This window comes from Homo sapiens, chromosome 13 (genome assembly GCF_000001405.40).
Source record: "Homo sapiens chromosome 13, GRCh38.p14 Primary Assembly".
In the NCBI taxonomy this organism is placed as follows: Eukaryota; Metazoa; Chordata; class Mammalia; order Primates; family Hominidae; genus Homo; species Homo sapiens.
This window is the reverse complement of record NC_000013.11, coordinates 29802461-29826856: the sequence shown is the minus strand read 5'-3', so window position 1 is coordinate 29826856 and position 24396 is coordinate 29802461. Positions and strand designations below refer to the sequence as shown.

The 24396-nt window shown below is 35.5% G+C and overlaps 1 protein-coding gene across 2 annotated transcripts in view, besides 1 other annotated feature; it reads left to right on the top strand.

Annotated features, from left to right (window-relative positions):
• Positions 1–24396, top strand: part of UBL3 (ubiquitin like 3) — an 86247-nt gene that overhangs the window by 23761 nt on the left and 38090 nt on the right. The window lies entirely within an intron of this gene.
• Positions 20568–20617: an enhancer, noted in NCBI's record as "active region_7523". NCBI's record gives its function as "activates an Ori minimal core promoter by ATAC-STARR-seq in GM12878 lymphoblastoid cells {active_cell/tissue: GM12878}" and the evidence as "EXISTENCE:reporter gene assay evidence [ECO:0000049][PMID:35858748]".

Here is a 24396-nt window from a genome sequence, read left to right as displayed (position 1 = left end):
TTTAAAGCAGTGTGTAGAGGGAAATATATAGCACTAAATGCCCACAAGAGAAAGCAGGAAAGATCTAAAATTGACACCCTAACATCACAATTAAAAGAACTAGAGAAGCAAGAGCAAACACATTCAAAAGCTAGCAGAAGGCAAGAAATAACTAAGATCAGAGCAGAACTGAAGGAGATAGAGACACAAAAAACCCTTCAAAAAATCAATAATCCAGGAGCTGGTTTTTTGAAAGGATCAACAAAATTGAGAGATTGCTAGCAAGACTAATAAAGAAGAATCAAATAGAAGCAATAAAAAATAATAAAGGGGATATCACCACTGATCCCACAGAAATACAAACTACCATCAGAGAATACTATAAACACCTCTACGCAAATAAACTAGAAAATCTAGAAGAAATGGATAAATTCCTGGACACATACACCCTCCCGAGACTAAACCAGGAAGAAGTTGAATCCCTGAATAGACCAATAACAGGCTCTGAAATTCAGGCAATGATTAATAGCTTACCAACCAAAAACAGTCCAGGACTAGCCAAATTCGCAGCCGAATTCTAGCAGAGGTACAAGGAGGAGCTGGTACCATTCCTTCTGAAACTATTCCAATCAATAGAAAAAGAGGGAATCCTCCCTAACTCATTTTATGAGGCCAGCATCATCCTGACACCAAAGTCCGGCAGAGTACACAACAAAAAAGGAGAATTTTAGACCAATATCCCTGATGAACATCGATGCAAAAATCCTCAATAAAATACTGGCAAACTGAATCCAGCAGCACATCAAAGAGCTTATCCACCATGATCAAGTGGGCTTCATCCCTGGGATGCAAGGCTGGTTCAGCATATGCAAATCAATAAACATAATCCAGCATATAAACAGAACCAAAGACAAAAACCACATGATTATCTCAATAGATGCAGAAAAGGCCTTTGACAAAATTCAACAGCCCTTCATGCTAAACATTCTCAATAAATTAGATATTGATGGGACGTATCTCAAAATAATAAGAGCTATCTATGACAAACCCACAGCCAATATCATACTGAATGGGCAAAAACTGGAAGCATTCCCTTTGAAAACTGGCACAAGACAGGGATGCCCTCTCTCACCACTTCTATTCAACATAGTGTTGGAATTTCTGGCCAGAGCAATCGGGCAGGAGAAAGAAAGGGTATTCAATTAGGAAAAGAAGTTAAATTGTCCCTGTTTGCAGATGACATGATTGTATATTTAGAAAACCCCGTCGTCTCAGCCCAAAATCTCCTTAAGCTGATAAGCAACTTCAGCAAAGTCTCAGGTTACAAAATCAATGTGCAAAAATCACAAGCATTCTTATACACCAATAACAGACAAACAGAGAGCCAAATCATGAGTGAAATCCCATTCACAATTGCTTCAAAGAGAATAAAATACCTAGGAATCCAACTTACAAGGGATGTGAAGGACCTCTTCAAGGAGAACTACAAACCACTGCTCAACGAAATAAAAGAGGACACAAGCAAATGGAAGAACATTCCATGCTGATGGATAGGAATAATCAATATCGTGAAAATGGCCATACTGCCCAAGGTAATTTATAGATTCAATGCCATCCCCATCAAGCTACCAATGACTTTCTTCACAGAATTGGAATAAACTAAAGTTCATATGGAACCAAAAAAGAGCCCACATTGCCAAGACAATCCTAAGCCAAAAGAACAAAGCTGGAGGCATCACATTACCTGACTTCAAACTACATTACAAGGCTACAGTAACCAAAACAGCATAGTAGTGGTTCCAAAACAGAGATATAGACCAATGGAACAGAACAGAGCCCTCAGAAATAATACCACACATCTACAACCATCTGATCTTTGACAAACCTGACAAAAGCAAGAAATGGGGAAAGGATTGCCTATTTAACAAATGGTGCTGGGAAGACTGGCTAGCCATATGTAGAAAGCTGAAACTGGATCCCTTCCTTACACCTTATACAAAAATTAATTCAAGATGGATTAAAGATTTAAATGTTAGACCTAAAACCATAAAAACCCTAGAAGAAAACCTAGGCAGTACCATTCAGGACATAGGCATGGGCAAGGACTTCATGTCTAAAACACCAAAAGCAATGGCAACAAAAGCCAAAATTCACAAATGGGATCTAATTAAACTAAAGAGCTTCTGCACAGCAAAAGAAACTACCACCAGAGTGAACAGGCAACCTACAGAATGGGAGAAAATTTTTGCAATCTACTCATCTGATAAAAGGCTAATATCCAGAATCTACAAAGAACTCAAACAAATTTACAAGAAAAAAAACAACCCCAGCAACAAGTGGGCGAAGGATATGAACAGACACTTCTCAAAAGAAGACATTTATGCAGCCAATGGGCACGTGAAGAAATGCTCATCATCACTGGCCATCAGAGAAATGCAAATCAAAACCACAATGAGATACCATCTCACACCAGTTAGAATGGTGATCATTAAAAAGCCAGGAAACAACAGGTGCTGGAGAGGATGTGGAGAAATAGGAACACTTTTACAGTGTTGGTGGGACTGTAAAACTAGTTGAACCATTGTGGAAGACAGTGTGGTGATTCCTCAAGGATCTAGAACTAGAAATACCATTTGACCCAGCCATCCCATTACTGGGTATATACCCAAAGGATTATAAATCATGCTGCTATAAAGACACATGCACATGTATGTTCATTGCAGCACTATTCACAATAGCAAAGACTTGGAACCAACCCATATGTCCATCAGTGATAGTCTGGATTAAGAAAGTGTGGCACATATACACCATGGAATACTATGCAGCCATAAACAAGGATGAGTTCATGTCCTTTGTAGGGACATGGATGAAGCTGGAAACCATCATTCTCAGCAAACTATCGCAAGGACAGAAAACCAAACACCGCATGTTCTCACTCATAGGTGGGAATTGAACAATGAGAACACTTGAACACAGGAAGGGGAACATCACACACTGGGGCCTGTGGTTGGATGGGGGGAGGGGGGAGGGATAGCATTAGGAGATACACCTAATGTAAATGACGAGTTAATGGGTGCAGCACACCAACATGGCACATGTATACATGTGTAACCTGCACATTGTGCGCATGTACCCTAGAACTTAAAGTATAATAAAAATAAATAGAAAAATGAGTAATTTCTTATAAGTTTAAAATTGATGTGAATCTTTTAGAAGGAAAGGTAATTATCATTATGCAGTGTCAACTAGGTTAATGTGGTTGCCACTCAGTTATCCTCCATAGTAAAATTAATGACATTTATTCTTTCTGTGATTTCTCAATGTACTTGACCAGTGGTTCCTAAAGAGAAGTGTTTATGTATCTTGTCCCAATTTGTCCTTTCTTGGCCATACTGTATTTATTTTTATCTGTCTACACTTAAAGATCTAAATTTGCAGCCGGGCGCAGTGGCTCACGCCTGTAATCCCAGCAGTTTGGGAGGCCGAAGGCGGGCGGATCACCTGAGGTCGGGAGTTGGAGACCAGCCTGACAAACATGGAGAAACCCGTCTCTTCTAAAAATACAAAATTAGCCGGGCGTGGTGGCGCATGCCTGTAACCCCACCTACTTGGGAGGCTGAGGCAGGAGAATCGCTTGAACCCGGGAGATGGAGGTTGCAGTGAGTTGAGATCACACCATTGCACTCCAGCCTGGGCAACAGGAGCGAACTCCTTCTCAAAGAAAAAAAAGAAAACAAAACTAAATTTACTATTTGGTTTATTATTCTTTCATTCTAATTTTGTAATTAATTAGAAAAGCAATAAGATTATTGTAAAACTTGTAAAATAGAAAACATTTTAAGGAAAATAATACCATTTATAAAATTCTTCTTCTTACATATGAATACTATTCATGTTTTTTCTCTCTACGCTCCACATTTTTTATGTGTGATGTGATGTGTGTGTTTGTGTTTGTGTGTGTGTATACAGTTGATAATTCATTTTGAAATGTTCTAATTTGGGGAGATCTTAAAGATCAAATTTAATTATGTGCCCTTTTGTGTGCCCTTTTGTGTAGGCAATTTACACTCACTCAAAAGAAAACCTTTAGTTCTTTGAGTTTTTCACAGGATAGTACAGGCTTCTTTTTAACACATCATAGCTGTACCGTATTTCCTTTTTAAAATGCAGTCTTTGGCCAGGTGTGGTGGTTCGTGCCTGTAATCCCAGCTACTGGTGAGTCTGAGATGGGATGATCACTTGAGCCCAGTAGTTTGAGACTGCAGTGAGCTGTGATTACGCCACTGCACTCCACCTCAGGTGATTCTATGGAGTAATATGGTTGTGCCAGTGACTAGAAACACTTTTCTAATTTTAATCCTGTAATTTCACTAAGATAGAAGCAAATTAGAACTCTCCTAAACTAGACTATTTCAGTAGAATCAAAAGGAGCAGAGGTTTGAGTTTATATTTGAGATTTGTGGGATGCTTATTTTAAAATCTTTGAGATCTCACAAAAGGACTGTTTTGTTTTTAACTGTTCCCTCCTCCAGTCAGTACTTTATCCTATTGCTAGGTTTGTAAATACATATATGGTATGTGTATACATCTCTGTAGTATACAACACCTTTGAAAAGAATCTTTAGATTTCAATTATATTTTACTTACTCCCCCTTTCACCAGCTAAAAGTAAATGAAGTAAAAACAAATCTCTAAATGTGTGATTACAAAATTTACACATACATTTATCTTTTCAGAAATCACATTTGCATAAAGTTCATTGAGTTCAATGTCTGCTAATTTATAAGATAGTTTCCCTACCATATATATTCAACCAAGGCAGCATATTCCAGTGGTGGTATTGTTAATTATATCAGAATTAAGAACATCAACACTTTCTCAAAAGTACTGAATGAGAGCAAGTTTCTGGATCTTCTAATTCAGGTAATTTAATTTAACAAAGAGCTTTAGGACTAGTTGTAATCACCTAGCAATTACTCATAAAATTGTTTTTAATTTCATCTATGTTCCTTGAGAGCCACTGTGTTGATGATTCTGTTTTGGGGATTTATGTGCAGTCAGATAATTCATATTTTGTATTTCTGTACGAAATCAATGGAACAAGACAAAAGTAAACTTACAGAAAATTAGTAAAAAATTTTCATATGGTCTCGTACTAGAGAATATAAAGCAAATAAAAGATTTTTATTGGCTAAAAACTAAACTTTGCTACCTGTGGAGTACGTATGTAATGAATAAATGATACACATACAAAGTGTTAGAAAGCTCAACCAAAGAAGTTAGCATGTTCTTTTGGAAATGAGAATGTCTTCATGTTCCAGTGACATTTAGTATCTGGAATGCAGTAGTAGCCCGATCTTACTTTAGAGGTTTTAAAGTTAGATTTACCAATAAATGTCTGCAAAAGGTATTACATCTGGCTTCCTGAGCAATTTGACTAGTTACCCAAGAGTTGTGATTACTATGACATGACGCAGTACAGCTGTAAAAAATAAAGACAAATTTAAGTTTAGTCCTGGTATGTATACACAGCTTTGCTATATTACAAGAAGGGTATTTTCTTTGTGATGAGTTTAGTGTAATAAATCAAACACATATATAACCTATAAGTAATAGGTTAAAAAAGTATAAATATATTGAAACACTGCTCAGATTTCATAGTCTTTTTTTTAACAAAGCTTTTTTGGTACTTAGTAAGCTTCTTCTTTGTGTTATTTTTTAATAGTGAAATACCAGTTGCTGGCATCTATTGAGTGCCCAGGTGGGCACTGTTTTATGCTTCACACATGTTTACTCAGTAAAATTTCCCTACAATGCTATTAGGTAGGTATTATTATTATCCCCATTTTACAGATAAGGAAGCTGAAACATGGAGATTTTAAAGCAGTTTTCTGGTAACTGGTGGAGCCAGGATTCAAACCCTGGCATTCTGTTTCCAGAGCCTATCATGTGACAGTCTGTTATTCCCAGAATTCTGGGAAGGCATACTCTGCTATTAAATACTATATATATTAGAAATAAGGCAGTTCATTTTATATATGCATGTGGTAAGATTATAGAACAAAAAGACAACAGTCATTTAACAAATAATAGCAAATAAGCTGAAGGGTTGACTTCAGTAACTTTAGAATGTAGTTATGTTTACTGTTTTTCTCATGGTCAGAACCTAATATGTTGATTTAAGCAATGTCTATAGTTAATTCATTAGAATGAAAGGACAGAAATGTAGTGGATGATAACTCAAGGGAGAAAAAAGCTTGATATAATAGTTTTTAAATGTTTAATACTATTTCAAATATAGGAACCATGAGTGAAAAATAAACTCCAGGATCGCAAGGAATCTGGGGAGTATCCTAAACTCAGAGTTCATTCTGAGTTACTATAAAAAGTCTGAGGACTTCAGGCCAGGCATGGTGGCTCACTCCTGTAATCTCAGCACTTTGGGAGGCCGAGGCAGGCGGATCACCTGAGGTCAGGAGTTCAAGACCAGCCTGGCCAACGTGGTGAAACCCCATCTCTACAAAAATGCAAAAATTAGCTGGGCATGATGGCACATGCCTGTTGTCCCAGATACTTGGGAGGCTGAGGCAAGAGAATTGCTTGAACCTGGGAGGCAGAGGTTGCAGTGAGCCGAGATCGAGCCACTGAGCTCTCCAGCCTGGGTGACAGAGCAAGACTCCATCTCAAAAAAAAAAAAAAAAAAAAAAAGGAACTCTGAGGGCCTCTCAGTGGGATTCTAATTTCTGATACATCTTTCTTTTCAGGGTCACTCGCATACTACTATTAGGACTTCATTAGAGAAGCTTCTTTCCAGAAAAGAAAGAAAAAGCCATATGTTGGAATAAGTTAAGAAACATTGTTAGGCTTATGGGAACACCATAAATCATCCTATAAAGCTTATTTGTAGAACCTTTTACGTTTTTGAAATGGTTGACATTTTATCTTTGCAGTTGTCTATAGAAAAGTTTTGGGGGTAGGGATTGGGGAAAAAGGATTATTGTCCTTGAATTATCTCCTGTGATAGAGGTCTCAGGTCTTGAAATCAGCCCTTTGACGTTAATGAATCTTTATCATTAATTCTTGGGGGTGGGGGCGGTGGTGTGGTCCTTGGATTCTTTCTAAATCATTTCTCTCCAACTTGGAAATATGGTTCTCTTCTAACTTTTACCTTTTTTAAAAAAAGTGATGTCTTTTCTGGTAGAAGAAATTTTATTTTTGAAAAATGCTCATAAAAAGAAAGCTACATACTTTGCAGTATCCTAGTATTTTAATTCATTATCATAAGTAAGCAGTAATTATATAGGTTCTATTACAGAAAGTATAACTGCTTTATTGTATTAAATCTTCTAGTCCTGTGATTGGTAGGTTAATTTTTTTCCAGCTTTGTAGAAGTACCATTGTAACAATCTCCTTAGTTTATGGACTTGGCCAAATGTTGTATTCACAGGTAACTGTTTCTTTTGAACTCTGAGCATCTTTCTTTATCCCAGGATTTCTGATATGGATAGCCTTGATGTGGTTAAGGGTAAATGCAACAAAATCACCTTACTTGGCCTTTGCCTTTCGTTTTACGCTTCATAGTTCTCCTTTTCTGTCCCAAAGCTAAACATGGGGTTTAACTCTCTCAGATTATATTTAGAGAGTCACTTAGGTGGGATTTTCTAAGCACTTTTATTTTAACTTTCATGAAAAATTTCAAACATACAGAAGTAGAGAGAATATTATAATAAAACTTCCATGTATCCATATCTCAGCTTCAACAGTTGTCACCTCATAGACAGTAATGTTTTATCTGTATTTGTACTTGCTCTACTTGCTCCTTCTAAATTATTTTGAATCAAATTCCACATCTTTCATAAATATTCCCAGATATGTAATATATAGTGATTATTTTTAAAACAACCATAATACTCTTATCACACCTTAAAAATTAGCAGCAATTACCTAATATTATCAAACACACAGATATAAAGCATGTAAAGATGCTGCTATCTTTTAGCAATTGAAAAATTAACATTTCAGAATGTGATTAGTGTTAAAGTGGTTTTTGTCTTGTGAACATTGTGAAGGGGAGAACGCATGGGAAAGGTCTTTTTAAATTCTGTCTGAGACAGTATTCTTAGAGTTCTGGGTTTTTTAGTCTTAAACTAAAATGAATTAAGTCTCAATTTGCTATCAAAATATACAAGCTGTTATACATTGGCCACTAAGGTGAAGTGCAAGCACACTTGTGATAGGCGTATTATGTGAAGTCAGAACTTTAAAAATAAGGAAACAAACACTTTTTTGAAAGGCTGGAAAAACTTCCTTAACATTTAAAAATAGTTCTTAAACAGAGAAAAATTTGTCAGGTGATTGATTGGCCTTAATTTGAGAAATTATTAGTTTTCATCTTCCTTTTTTATTGGAAGGAAAAGGAAGAAAATAGTTATTTGTGTACTTCTGATCAAGTGACCTAAACAGTTTTCTTTTTCCTTTGCTCTGTAAAAGATTAGTAGTCGTTTAAATAATTGATGTTAAGTGTCTCTGAATTCCTGTGTTTTGAAGGCTTTGCACATATTAACTTTCTCTTCCTGACTGAAAAGGATGTGTGTGATAGTATCTTTTTACTTAGTTAGTCTAAATTTAGATTTCTTGATCATGAATTAGAAAGCCTGTGAGTATATGTGAATGTTAGAGTATGACTGTTTTCTTATTTTTAGCTACTTTTGCTGCTGAACTTCCTTTTTTCACTGCTTGGTGCAGTTAAGGGTAAATGCAGAGCTGATTCTGGTGTAATGCAGCTTCTAGGACAGAACATTTGCATATAATATGTTCTATACCAGGAATTTGAAATGGGGACTAAATGCAATTTGTGAATGAAGCACCTTAATTTGCTAAACTAGGAGCTATGTCAGATTTTAAAAAATAAAGTTTTGCTGTCAGTTCAGGCTAGTATAAGTTATTTTCTGTAACTCAAATGATAAAAGCAAAAGTTTAAAACATTCTCTGGATCAAATCTAATTTTGAATTCCTGGCTTACAGAGAAAGCACTTGTTTATGTCTGGTTGCCATTTACCCAGCTCCCTGCTCTCCCATCTGTCAGAATGCTGACCCAGTTTGGGATTAGAATAGGGATTTACCACACGCACAAGTTTATACATGCATGCACACATGTACATGTGAATTTGTACGTATTTCACTTAACAAATTGGATTTTAGCATTGATCTTCTGCTAAATGGAATTTTAAAAAAATTATCTATGATTACTTTGCTTTTAGAGTTGGATTACAGATTACATTGAAAAAAATAGAAAACCTCCAGAAACGCTTTCCTTTCTAATACATTTCAGCTATTTTGCCTCTGGTCTCTTTCCTGTTCCTCCCCTGACCCATTCTTATTTCCATCACCTCAGCCGGCTTTATCATCATAACCCTGTACCCCTCCCCTACCAAGTAGAGCAGGGACTAAGCAGTGATTAAAACATTGGAGCAAACCTGAATGGCTTAATTCATTTAAAAAATTCGAAGGTTCTGCTGCCCATTTATCCATCAGATAAGAGGCAAAACAAACAGAAAAACTTAGCTTTAGTTATTACAGTTTATGTTTTCATCTTACGCGTGTTGCATACCAAGCTATGGTAACTGTAGACTTCCCCAAATGACATTCAGATTCTAAACTAGAAAATGCTTTTATTTATTTACTCCAGAATAAATAAAATGTCGCAGACAAGAAGGTAATGTATTTTCCTCCTAAAGTGACTTTAAAGATTGAGGTGGTTTAGTATTTAGCACTGAAACTTGGAATCAAACAGTTCTCAGTACAAAATGTCCAGGAATAATGAGGAAACGGCATGGCAGCACTGCCATGGTTTTTGTCTTTGGGGGATTGTTGTATGCAGGCAGGATAACTTTTGCGTCTCACATCTTGAATCCAGAGGTGATAGATAACCCTAATTTACCTAGCAGTTAGGTATAGCAGCAGTCTGCTACCTAGAGTTTATCCAAGAACAAGGAAATAGCAAATGTCTCCAAGCAATAAAAATATTACACAGATTCTTGTAACCAAATTTATAAACTTTACTCCTAGAAGATTTTCAGAGTTCAACATTGTTCCTTTTTTTTTTTTTTTTTTTTTTTTTTTTGAGACAGGGTCTTGCTCAGTCACCCAGCCTGGAGTACAGTGGCACAAACACAGTTTACTGCAACCATGAACTCATGGGCTCAAACAATCCTCCCACCTCAGCCTCCTGAGTAGTTGGGACCACAGGCATGTGCCACCATGCCCAACAATTTTTTTTTTTGTAGATACAAAATCTCACCATGTTGCCCGGGCTGGTCTCAAACTCTTGGGCTTATTCAATCCTCCTACCTTGTCCTCCCAAAGTGCTGGGATTACAGGCATGAGCCAATGTACCTGGCTCATTTACTTTTATTTTAGACACATTTGCTATTATTTTAGGTAAACAGTTTAAAACTGATTACTTCAGCACATAGCAAGAGATTTGTTTTAGATAGTCAAAACAGTCAGCTTATATGGTAAAAATTCCTTATTGTTACTTGGTTCTAAAAGTAAATTCCCTAAACTCTGTGGTTATATTCCATAATTTAGTCAGTTTCTTCAATACCATATTGCTTTAATTGAGGAGAAGGGACTCTAGACAAAGTAATGTAATAATATTAATATTATTCAATAATAAAATTGTAATATGTTTACAGAGTGCTTTTTGCTTTTCAGTTAAAATACTTTCATTCATATTGTCTTATTTAAAAATAGATTATTTCTTCTTAGTCAGATCCTGGTGACAGTGGGGAAAAAAATCCTACAAAGCTAACAGAATTCGTAGCATAGCATTCTGAAGTTTAGTGGAAAATAGCCCTGAGCACCTACCTAATATGTCCTAAAAGCATCATTGTGTGATAAATGATATTTATGATGACTCCATGCAGAAACTGGTTATTTGATAGATATTGAAAGGTGTTAAACTTACCTACATCAGAAATGTATAGATTATTCAGCTGTTCTCAAGTTGAGGTAGCTCCCAAAGATAAAGCTAAGATAGACCTGTATGAGTTCAGTTCCTTCATTGCAGTAGGTAAGTTATCCAGACATCTTTCATTGAGTGCTTTTCTATTTGAATTGGCATCTTGTTTAATCACTTTGTGAATGACATGGAAACCCACTCATCTGGTAACTTTTAGATAGATTTTTAGGCAATTCAGAAAGCACACTGAGAATTTCCCTAAAATGTCAGTAACATTGCCTGAAGTTTTATTTTATGGTTCTGGGTTGGAAAGACAGTACATATTTGGGAATAAAGTGGCATTCAGAAGAGCAACAATAAAATGGGGTTTTGTTTGTTTAGTTTAGCTGTGGGTTATACATATTCCTTGGCTTCTAGACCTCACAAATTTATTTGTTCAGGAAGTTATTAACACATTTCTAACTTGGATAAAATACTTTTAATATCTTTGATCTATGGTAGGTGGGTAATTCATGGTCATTTCCCAAAGTATGTATTTATCATTTTTGGTATCCAGACTAGAGGATCTCAGAAGTTTGAAGCTGATTTATTATATGAGATATTTCTCCCCCCCACACACCCATTTCCCACTCATCTAACTCGTTCTATTTGAAATCTCAGCTGAGTCTTTAGAATTCTCTGGGATGCTGTTTCAGACCCTTGTAAATCTGTATTGGTGCTCACTCTTTGTGCCCCAGTGACACAGGATTTCTGTTGTAGTACACACTGGATTGACATTTCAATTGCTACTGTGTTTTGCGCAGAGTTAGGACAATTCATAGGGGATGGGAACTAATAGTTGGTGAACTAACACAGTAATAATAATCTTAAATATTTGCCCAACATATATTTAATAGAAGAGGAATAAACTGATTTTATAACATTTCTATATAGAAACAAATACCTACTAATTCGTTTTCTACTGGCCAATGCAGGGTCAGTTTTCTAGAAATAATTAGACAAAACATTTCTGAAGGTTTGGTAGTTTTAATCCCTTAGATCTTATTGCATGATTTTTCTGAACCAGGCAGCTTTCTAAAGGCCATTTAAAATTACACAATAAAATTTAATTAATTCTGGTAAAAATATATTGTTCAGTTTTGGAACTTCTGCTGACTGCAACCACACATGGCCAATCATATTCCAGTGGTGTATTTCTGGACAGCAGCCCGCCTAGGTCATTCTTTAATAAAACTCTGGTCTATCTCATTAGCTTATGTGCTGGGACAGCATGGCACATGGGCATCTTATTCAACTTTATAATAGGCCCTTACATCTTGGGCCTATTACAGTGCTTGGAAAAGAGTGGGTGTTAATATTTATTTGATGACTTGTTGAAAGAGTATTAAAGTTTTTCTCTTTACTCATGTACAAAATTTGGCTTGGCATCCCAAATAAAATTTTTATTATTTTTTATTATATAGTTGTTATATATCTCTATATATTAAATGATTATTTATGATAACAGTAGAAGCTCTTAATAGGTTTTCATGTCATTGCCATTAATTTGTTCTAGATTTTCTGTTTGGTAGAATATAAATTTGTTTTCCTTGAGAACGTCTGTAAGCTAGCAGGCAGGCTCAGTTTTAGTTAAGGACTGATGAGTAAAATTTGTAACTGCTGAAAGACCTTGTATGATTTTTGATATTTGAAGTAATTAAAACAACCTGTATTTATTCTTATTGGCTGTGCAATATAACTTCACAAAATCTACAGCAAAATAACATTAGATACTCTTTAAAAAAAAGAAAGATTCTAAATTAGACCTAAAACTACTGTTTCTTCTTGGATTAGACCTAATAACTCAGAATAGAAAGTAACCCTCTTGAATAAGCTGAAGAAGCGTGATTTGCATGCATTCCTTCTTTTGTAACTCTGAACATTATTTCATTAGATAACCAGAACAGTGTCACTAATATTCATTAATTACATCTTTTTCTTCTGAGGATTTTAATTTTATTTCAAAAGTGGCTCTGAGTCTTCTTCCCCAAAGCATATGAGAATATTGTGGTGGTGTTTAAAGGTTGCTTTATTTCTTGAAAATAATGATGCAAAGTGAATTTAAAAAGTAGCAGTTTGAGGAATTGAATACAGTCATCTCTCAGTATGAGGGAAGGATTTGTTCAGGACCCTACCATCACCCAATGCCAAAATCCACAGATGCTTCAAGTCCGTGATATAAAATGGTGCAGTATTTGCATATAACCTATGCACGTCCTTTCCTGTATGTTAAATTATCTCTAGATTACTTACAACTAATACAATTTAATGTTGTTCTATGTATTGTTTTTTATTTGCATTATTTTTAATTGTTGCATTGTTTTCAGTGTTTTCCAAATATTTTCAATCTGTGGTTGGTTGAACCTGTGAATGCAGAGTCTCGAGGATAAAGCCAACTTTACAACTTTTCATATTTTACTTAAATAAATATGCCTTTGCCTTAAGTTGTTTTGGTATTTCCCAGGCTTTGGTTCTTACTGAAGATAATTACTTTTTTCATTGTAAAAAAAGATTTATGACTTTCAAGAAGAAAAATAATTTCTGAGCAAAGAGAAAATGAAGAAGAATACTATGATTGGGCTAGCTGGAGAAGCGTTTCCTGACGTTCTATGCAATTACTGAAGTTTGGCTGTAATTTGGCTCTCAGCAAGGCAAAGGGAGATATCTGATTGATAATAAGATTCATAGTATTCATAAATTAAAACTATAGCAATTGCTTAGGAAAAGAAATTTTTTTCCTGACACTGAAGTCTGAGAGAAATGTCTTACATAGGCCCTTATAAAGGAGACATTGACTAGTTCTCTCCAAGTAAATGTAATGGGTATTTTTAATGACGTAACTCTTAGTCACAATTGGGTAAAAATGACTCTTTAGAAAATAGCACTGTCCAATAGAAATAGAACACAACATATGTAATTTTAAATTTTCTGGTAGCCACATTAAAGTTAAAAGACAACAGGTAAAATTAATTTTAATAACATTTCACTTGATATATCCAAAATATTATAATTTCAACATCTAATTGATACAAAATTATTGATAGTGTTTTACCTTTTTTCATACTAAGTCTTCAGAATCTAAGGTGCATTATACTTAGAGCACATCTGAATTCAGATGTCAGATTTTCATTAGAAATAGTCTATATTTCATAAAATTTACAGTTGAAAAAATAAATTCATATATCCAAGTTCCAAACATGCTTAAGGTTTTCTGGTAACTGAATCTCATATATCAATTTTTAAATTTAAATTAATTTCAAGTGCTCAATAGCTGTATATGGCCAGTAGCTACTGTATGGAATAGTGCAATTCTAGAGTATCTAGAGTTAGAAAAATCTTACCTAGGAGTACACATCAGAATCACCTGATACCTTCAACATATATGACCTTGGAAATGATTCAGTATGTCTGGGGTGGTGCCTTGGAGTATGTATTTTGGAAAGTTCCACAAATATATTCTGATTTATACACTTGGCTAAGAGTGTATTAATCCAGAAGAGAAAATGAGCTGCATATACTTAAAGTGATATAACCATGAGTAGTGGTTCTTGCAGGTAGGCTTTGTACAAGAGTTCAGCAATAAGAGCCCAAAGTGCAGATATTCAACATTCCCAGCCTGAAAACTCTTAGAATTGAATTTTGAATTGGCTAAACCCTGTGCTGATTTGAAAGGGAAGGTTTACATGGGGAATAAATAATGGTAAGACTGTCAATACATTCAGAGAATTGTGGACTTCAAGACTTAAACCGTGTGGCTTGGAGAGGCTTCTTGAAGGATACAGGAATTAAGCTAGGCCTTTTACAAATTGATAAGATTTAGATGGGGGAGCATTTCAAGTAGAGGAACATTAGTACGAGTTCAACCTATATTGGAGAAGAAATTTTGAAGTGAGATGGAGCCGGAGTAAGGGATAAAATTTTGAATTTTGTTTATTTAAAGGGCAGCATGAAGATACTTGGATATTTGAGAGAAGATAGAGAGTGTATCAGTTAGGAATGCTTTTAGCTGCAAAAACAACCAACCAAAAAAACACAAAAACCCCAAACAACCCCAACTAATAGTGACTTTATCACTAAAGATATTTAATTATCTCACATAACAAGAAATTGGGAAAAAGGCATTCTGGCTAGTCTAGCAGCTTAGTGATGTTATCAAGCAGCCAGGTATTTTTCATTATTGGAGGTAGCCTTTTTATCCTTGTGCTTGTTGCTCAGTACTTTCAAGATAGCTGTGTGCTCTAGGTATCACAACCAGTTGAAAGACAAGAAGAGCAACTGGTGAGGAATGGCATGGAGGGCATGGCAGGGACAGTCTATCTACCAGTTTCCTTCCGCAGCTCTCTCTTCTTTGCAGCATAGGATTAAATTTCCTAGAAGCCCCCATCAGTCTTCCATACACCTCTTTGTCCAGAACTAGGTCACATGGCTAGTACTAGTTGCAGTGGAGTTTACTGTAGCTCTAATGTCCTCTTAACTGTGTTAAACATTGCTTCATTTTAAAATACTCTTAGGAAGGAATGAAACAAACATGGCATGTATCAATTAATATTGAGTTTAGCAATTAGTAACTGCAAAATCACACTTAGTAGATTAAAATAAGTAAAGAGTTTATATTATTCTGCAACAAGAAATTTGGAAAGTGGCAGTCCAGGGCTAGTACAGTGGCCTGAGAAGTACCCTCGAGGGACCAGTATCCTCCTGTCTACTTGCTCTGCTTTCCTTAGTTTATGGATTTCCTCCCCATGGTCCAAAGATTATCGTATAATAATTCCAAAGATCACATTGTGTTCTGGGTGGTGAAAAAGTGGATGGGCAAAAGGCTTTTCCCTAGCAGTGCTTTGAGAAATGACCCTTCCTCCCCAGGTACTTTAACCTGTACCACCATTGACTTGAACGATGTCAAGGGTCTATACATAGCTAGTAAAAGTTGAGTACGTTTTCCAGGTCTTTATTGTAAAGGCCCAAAATTCATAATTTTTAACAGTGAGCAAAAGAACACATTCCCACATTGTAGCCAGCCTTTCAAACTAAGTCATTTTGTATCCTTCTGTTGTGTGCGCAGCTACTTCTTCCTAAGCAGAGTGCTGGTTTCCAATCATAGCTTGCATTATAAACAACATCAGTTCAAATAAGGCAAATCATGTTCCTTAATTTAAAATATCTAATTCACACGTAGAAAACTCACTGTTACACTAAAAATACCTGTATTTTCACTTAGTAGAATATTAACTAGTTATTAAATATTTACAAAGGCTTTGCACAAAATGTACTATACACCACTGGTCTTCAGTTTACAAATCCAAAAGATGCCTTGTCTTCATCTTACTTGGCCTCTCAGCAGCACTTAAAACAGTACAGCATCTGGCCTTTTAAACACTTTCTTCTTTTGGTTTCTGTGACCCCATATACATGATTTTCTTACTGTCTCATTAGCTATTCCCTCTCAGTTTCTTTGGCCAACTCTTTATTTGCTTTTTAAATATTAGCCTTCTTCAGAGCTCAGTCTGTGCTCTCTTCTATCTCTCTCTTTTCTAGAATTGGATCAGTTCCCAGGCTAAATACCACTTAAATGCTGATGACCCCCAAATGTGTATTTCTAGCCCAGACAATCTCCTCTGAATTCCTTAATCACGTGGCCAGTTATTTTTAACATCTCCACTTTTTAAAAAACAAATTTAGGATTGATCCTATTGATACCATCATCATTCTCCCAGTTGCTCAATCAGGTATGTGGAATAACCTTAATTCCTCAGTTTCTCCATTATTCATATCACATACCTCAGCAAGTTGTATTTTTTACTCCTAAAATATACAGTGGGCCTTTCATATTCATAGGTTCTGTGTCTGTGGATTAACCAACTGTGAATTGAAAATATCCAGGAAAAAAAAATTTCACAAAGTTTCAAAAAGCAAAACTTGAATTTTCTGCAGTCTGAACACTATGTTGGATCCACACAAATAAATTAATATATAGTCATTTGTATTAGGTATTAAAAGTAATTTAGAGTGATTTAAAGTATATAGGAGGATGTGCTAGGTTATATGGAAATACTGTGTTATTTTAGATCAGGAACCAGAGCGTCCTTGGTTTTTGTTATCTGTGGGCGGGGGTCAGAAGGCAGGGTCCTGAAACATAGACCCCACTAATGCCTAGAGATGACTCTATATTTAGTGGAAACATATCTTCTTCACTGCCTCCATCCCTGTCCAGGCTTTTGTCATCTCAACTAAACTCTTGCAAAGTCTTCTAAGGGGTCTGTCAGCTTCTGTTCCTAAGGAAAGAATGCTCTATCCGTACAACAGCCATGATGACCTTCAGTGTAAATTGGACCATGCTCCACTGCTGAAAACTTTTTAATGGTTTCACAGTCCACTTTAATATTTAAATTCCTTCCCAGGCTGTGTGAGATCTGACTCTTGCTTGCTCTTCAGCCTTATTGGTGGCTGTCTTCCTCAGTTACCATTCTGTGCTGATTTATTTATTTTTTCCTCAGATGTGCCAAGGCTTTTTCTTTTCTGCTTTGGAGTTTTTATGCATGAAGTTCCCACTGCCTAAACTGTTCTACCACCTACTCTTTGCATTTCTGACTCCTTCTTCAGGTCTCAGTGCAAGTATCCCTTTCTCAAGCTCCCTCTCCCCAGGTTCCCTATTCTAGGACCCTGTTGACCCTGTTACTTCTTTATAGCATTTTCCCACAAGTTGTCTTTTGTTTGTTTGCTTGTTTACCTGTCTTCATCGCTGTACTGTTAGTTCCATGTTTTCAGACATCCATCTATGTTTTACATCATGTGTACCCAGTAGGTGTCTAGGGTAGGTGCTCAAAATTTTTGAATGCATGATTAATACCTTGTAGAGATGTTTATATTATTTTGAGGAAAAGAAAGATTTATATTCTATTGAGCATGATCATACTGTGTTAAAAATATAAATAGTCTTTAGTTAATCCAATTTTTTTTCAATTAAAAGTTAAAAACTCTTCCAACTTGCACTTTTATACCTGGGCACAACGGGAGATCATTGAATGCAACTACTACTTCCATAAGAAGGGAACATAGAAAATAATATGCTACTTTATATTTTTACAGAAAGTTACAGAGCTTAGAAAATACATACATATTGTCTCATTTGAGCTTTACAATAGTGTTCTGAGTAGTTAGGATATTTAACTTTGTGTAAGCATTGGTCTTGCTACTAGGCATGTGACTTTGGGAGGTAAGTCATTTGCAAAATGAGACAATGAGGGTGGTGTGGGTATCCATAGAATTAATATATATGAAAATATTTTGTAAACTACACAAAACAAAACAGATGTTGGTGATAATGGTATTAACACTAAGAAACTTAGCTTCCAGGACAGTTAAGTGGCATGTCTAGGATGTCACAGCTATTAAGTAGTATGATTGATAACCAAACCCAGGCTGTACAGTGAAATGGAAAAATCAAAAGGTTGAGTGGTAACATATTAGAATGTCTTCATAAATCATATGTGTGAGGTGGGGGGAGTGGGAGCTTGGGTTTTGAAATTTTGTAATTAATTTAAAGTAGTCATGTCATCCTTTATTAAATGGTCATATATGCACTGTATGCATTGAGTATACACTGAGCAAATAAGAATACTATGACACCTTTTTATAAATTTGATACAAAATTAACTTGCTAGCTATATATTAAATATTTAGTTTTTCCCATCTTAAGAGTTGGAAGGAAAATGGAAGGTGATTTTTAATGGTCTAGAATAGATTGTAATGAAAGCTGCTTAAGCAGCTTCTTTTTGTTCATTTTTCCCTTTAGCAAACAGAGGCTTTGAGAATTTCCTCATATATACCTGATTTCTCTTAGAAGCACTATGAAAGCTGTTTTAATGCATGTTTGTTAATCATTGTGGTTTTTACCCACTACAAAGAATTTATAAAATAGACTATTGTAATACGTTTAACCATTAAGTAGCAATAGACAATTCTTTTAAAATTTGAAAAATGAAGGAAATATTAAAAAGTGGCAAAAAGTCATCCATATTGTTACCTCCCAAAGATAGCCTTTGTAAATATTTTGGTTTCTGTCTTGCCAATCTTGCAGTTAACTGTTAGAGATAAGTCTTGAATCAACTTTTTCCTTCTCTTTTTCAGAATTCCTTTTTTTATTTTTTCAGAACAGCAATCATAGCTGATTGCTTCCTTGAGGGCTATATTTGATCTGAACAGTGATGCTATTAAGACTACACTAGATACTATACTTACAGTTATTAGATTAAGTCATACTTCATTGAACAGCAATGTAAACAGTTACTTGGATAATAATAACTACTGAATAAAAAGGAGCTCTAAAAATTCATAGAATTAATAGGAAAAACTGGTTGTAGAATTGTGGTTGAAGTCAATAATTTGGTGGAGAGCAGAAAACAAAGAGATAAAAGGCAATGAGAATTGAAGTCTGAGGTACTTAAATCACAGAACTCAGGAGCAGTAAGGCAGCTGGACTGGCAGTCTCGATTCTTATGCAGCTCACCAGTTTGTGGGCTAGGGAATTGAGCCTTGAGCAGTGAAGTGACTTACCCAAGATTATATAGTCAGCTAGTTTAAAAGCCAGGACTAGGAGAGTCCAAGGTTCCTGACTTACAGTTTAACCTTCGTTTCCCATACAAGAAGTAGCAAGAACTGGGCTTGACATTATAGAAAATGAATTATACAAATATTAACTTTATACAGTTTGTGGTACCTAGGTTCTCTTTAACAATAGTTGGGTCTCTGTGGAAAAGGAAAGAAAATATGGTAAACTTTCAGATTCAAATGCCCAAATTCATATTCTTACCAATTCCTTTTTGGTATCATTACTCTTTCTTTGTGATTTCATCATTCTGAAGTACACTACATATTAGAATAACTGATAATTATAATTGAATTGATAAAATATGGTATATATTAAATATTAGTTTGGAAATACAATCTCACAGTAGGAAAGAACAAGATAGAGGTTATTATAAAACTTAAAAATTGCACCATAGACACAAAAGCTACTGAAGAAAGCATTACAGATCACAAAAGACAATAAAGTGAATTATGAGTTTGCACGTGTATCACTGGGTCAGGAGAGATGACAAAGCCATGGCCATTATAATATCCCTTCAGGCAGTGATCACGTGAAGCCAGTTTTGGAGTGAGGAAAATGCTTTTTAATATTTCTGAATTTAAGCCAAAGAACGCCTCAGTATTTATAATGAAGCAAAGATCTTGGTCTAATTTAAGAAGGTGTTAGACTGGGGTCAGTAAATATATGGCACTCTTGCACCTCAGCACTGCACCCACCATACTCCCTGCCCCCCAGCCCTACCCTTTACTTATGACAGACATGGATGATTAATAACAACTCATTTTCCACTAAACCTAGAGATGGTTTAAGATCCTTCTTAGGGGAGCATATTTTCAGCAGCTCCTGTAAATTAATGATTGGCAAGAGTGATAAAATTTGTTTTCCAGGCCGGCATTAGATATTTTCTGGATATTTTTCTTGCTAAAGTAGACTAATGTAAAAGTAAGTCAATCAATAACCATACAAGAAGAGCTAACTACTCACTTGCTGAGTAATAAAGGTTTTTTCTCTATAGCACAGTTTTATGTAATTGGATGCTAGTGTGTAATTTTACTAATATAGAAATACAAGATACTACTTTGTGGGGTTTTTTGGTTTTGTTTTTTGGTTTTGAGACAGCGTGTTGATCTGTCACCCAGGCTGGAGTGCAGTGGTGCAATCTTGACTCACTGCAACCTCTGCCTCGTGGGCTCAAGCTATTCTCCTGCCTCAGCCTCCCAAGCAGCTGGGACTACAGGCACACGCCACCATGCCCAGCTAATTTTTTGTATTTTAATTAGAAATGGAGTTTTACTGTGTTGGCCAGGCTGGTCTCAAACTCCTGACTTCAGGTGATCTGCCCACCTTGGCCTCCAAAGTGCTGGGATTACAGGCATGAGCCACCATGTCCGGCCACAAGGTACTACTTTGGATGCATACCACTTTATTTTAGAATGGCATTTGTAATGCCATAGTTTTCTGGAAATCCTTAGTAGTTTTAGAAAATGGTAGAATTTTTAAGAATTTATTTAAAAGTCTAGCCTGTATATAACTTAATGTTGGATAATTGCATGGAAAATGTATATAATGAATAGGTGAAATCATGTTCTATCATCTCAGCTTCTTGAATGTTGTGATGTTTCAACCATTCATTCAATTAAAAATATGGGAGGGCAAGTTATAATTAAGCCAAACCAGTTGTACTAGGGAGTGATTTTCCCCCCAAGTTAAAGGAGACTATTTTTTATTAAAAAGATAGATAGCATATATAGTCATGTTTCTCAAAGAGAAGGTAGTATTGGGGGTGTAAGAGCCGTTTTCTAAGTGGAGATGCCCATGCTTTCATCCCAGAGGACAGACATATCAGACTCTTGGAAGAGGGGGCCCGGGCCAAGAAATATAATTTGAAAAAGCTCCCTAGGTGATTTTGAATCTACCTTGCCCTCAAGGACTGCTGAAATCTAGGAACTTTAAGAATTTAGATTCTAAAATTGAGTTTGTTTTCCAGACAGAATTCCCAAGAGAGAATTACTGTGGAAAGCTGCTGTAGACCATTTAATCCATCCATTGTGATAAAATGGCAGACATTCTTAGTTTGATATAGGTGTATGTTTTACATAAATCTTAGTATTTCAAATATTTTAAATACCTCTTAATTATTGAGTAGTCTCTTTAGAGAGTTGTTTTTTATTTAAATCATTGGCTTTGCTTAATTAAATGGTCCCAAATTTCTGAATCAGATGGCTATTTTGATATTTAATAATCTGGCTCTTTCAAGTTAGTACTGTTACCTGAGATACAGAATTATATGTAACCAAGTTGTATATATATGTGCATGTGTATTTCAGGCCACATGCACATGTGTTGTGTATGTTCAGATCATTAGAAGGTAGGAATGATCGAATGCATTATAAGCTGTTTCTGTAATCTCTGTTGTTTATAGCTATAAATCATGTTCATTGTGGAAATTTGGAAAAATGTGAAAAGTTTAAAGTAGAAATCTGAAATAACTCATTATGCTATCACCTGGAAATAACATCTGTTCTGTTATTCAGTTTCTTCCTGGTTCGATCTTTGGAGGTTCTGTTTCCAGGAGTTTATCCATTTGTTCTAGGTTTTTTTAGACTGTGTGCATAGAAGTATTAATAGTAGTCTCCCAGGATTTTTTTTGTATTACTGTGGGGTCAGTGGTGATGCTCCCTTTGTCATTTCTTATTTGGATCTTCTCCCTTTTTTCTAGCTAGTAGTCTAATTTAATCTTCAAATAACCAACTCCTGGATTTGTTGATCTTTTGTATGGTTTTTCACATCTCAGTTTCCTTCATTTCAGCTCTAATTTTGGCTATTTCTTGTCTTCGGCTAGTTTTGGGCTTAATTTGCTCTTATTTCTCTAATTCTTCTAGGTGTAATGTTAGGTTGTTAATTTGAGATCTTTCAGACTTTTTGATATGGTTATTTAGTGGTATAAACTTCTCTCTTTATAAACTTCCATCTTTAGCTGTGTCCCAGAGATTTTGGTATGTTATATCTTTGTTCTCATTAGTTTCAAAGCATTTCTTGATGTCTGCCTTAATTTTATTGTTTACCCAAAGGTCATTCAGGAGTAGGTTGTTCAATTTACCTGTAATTGTATGGTTTTGAGTGATTTTCTTAGTATTAAGTTCTATTTTTAATGAGCTATGGTCCAAGAGTATGGCAGTATAATTTCAGGTTTTTTTTTTTTTATTTAGCTGAGGATTGTCTTATGGCTGATTGTGTGTTCTATTTTAAAGTATGTGCCATGTGCAGATGAGAAGAATGTATATTCTGAAGAATATACATTCTGAAGAATGTATGTTTTTTGGTGAAGAGTTCTGTAGATGTCTGTTAGGTCTTTTTTGGTCAAGTATCAAGTTCAGGTCTTGAAAATCTTTGCTAATTTTCTGCCTTGATTATCTGCTTAATATAGTCAGTGGGATGTTGAAGCCTCAAACTATTATTGTGTGGAGATCTAAGTCTCTTTGTAGGTCTTTAAGAACTTGTTTTATCAGTCTGAGTGCTCCTGTGTTGGGTGCAGATATGTTTAGGATAGTTAGATCTTGTTGAATTGATCCCTTTACTGTTATATAACGTCCATCTTTGTGTTTTTTGATCTTTGTGGGTTTACAGTCTGTTTTGTCTGAAATTAGGATTGAAACCCCTTCTCCCTTTTTTTTTTCTGTTTTCCATTTGCTTGGTAGATTTTTCTCCATCCCTTACTTTGAGCCTCTGGATGTCATTGCGTGTAAGATGAGTCTCTTAGAGACAGCGTACCAATGGATCTTGCTTCTTTATCCGGCCTGCCACTCTATGCCTTTTAATTGGGGCATTTAACCCATTTACAGTCAAGGTTAATATTGATATGTGTGGATTTGATCCTGTCATTGTATTGTTAGCTGGTTATCATGTAGACTTGTTTGCATCATTCTTTTATAGTGTCAGTGGTCTGTGTACTTTTGTTTTTTTAGTATGTACTTCTGTGTGTTTCTGTAGTGGCTAGTAATGGTCTTCTTTCCTTTCCATATTTAGCACTCCTTTAAGGACCTCTGGTAAGTTAGGTCTGGTGGTGACAAATTCACTTAGCATTTGCCTATCTAAAAAGGATCTTATTTATTTCTCCTTTGCTTATTAAACTTAGTTTGGCTGGATTTGAAATTCTTGGTTGGAAATTCTTTTCTTATAGAATGCTGAATATATTTGTATAAGTGAATGATTTGTATAAGTGACCTGCCTCTTCTCTCTAGCTGCTTTTAACATTTTTTATTCCATTTTGACCTTGGAGAATCTGATGACTGTGTGTCTTGGGGATGGTATTCTTATGTAGTATCTTTCAGGGATTCTCTGCATTTCCTGAATTTGAATGTTGGCCTCTTTAGTGAAGTTGGGGAAATTTTCATGGACAATATCCTGAAATATGTTTCCCAAGTTGCTTACTTTCTTCCCCTTTCAGGAATGCCAGTTAGTCATAGATTTAGTCTCTTTATTTCATAACCCTGTATTTCTCAGGAGTTTCGTTCATTCTTTTTTATTCTCTTTTTTGTTGTTTTTGTCTGACTGAGTTCAGCAAACCAGTCCTCAGGCTTTGAGACTCTTGCCTCAACTTGGCTTATTCTGCCATTAATACTTGCAATTGCATTATGAAATTCTTTTAGTGTGTTTTTCACCTCTATCAGATCAGTTTGGTCATTTCTTATAATGACCACTTCATCTATCAGCTCCTGCATCATTTTATTGTACTCCTTAGATTAGGTTTCATCTTTCTCCTGAACCTTGATGATCTTCATTTGTATCTCTATTCTGAATTATATTTCTGTGATTTCACCCCAGTTGG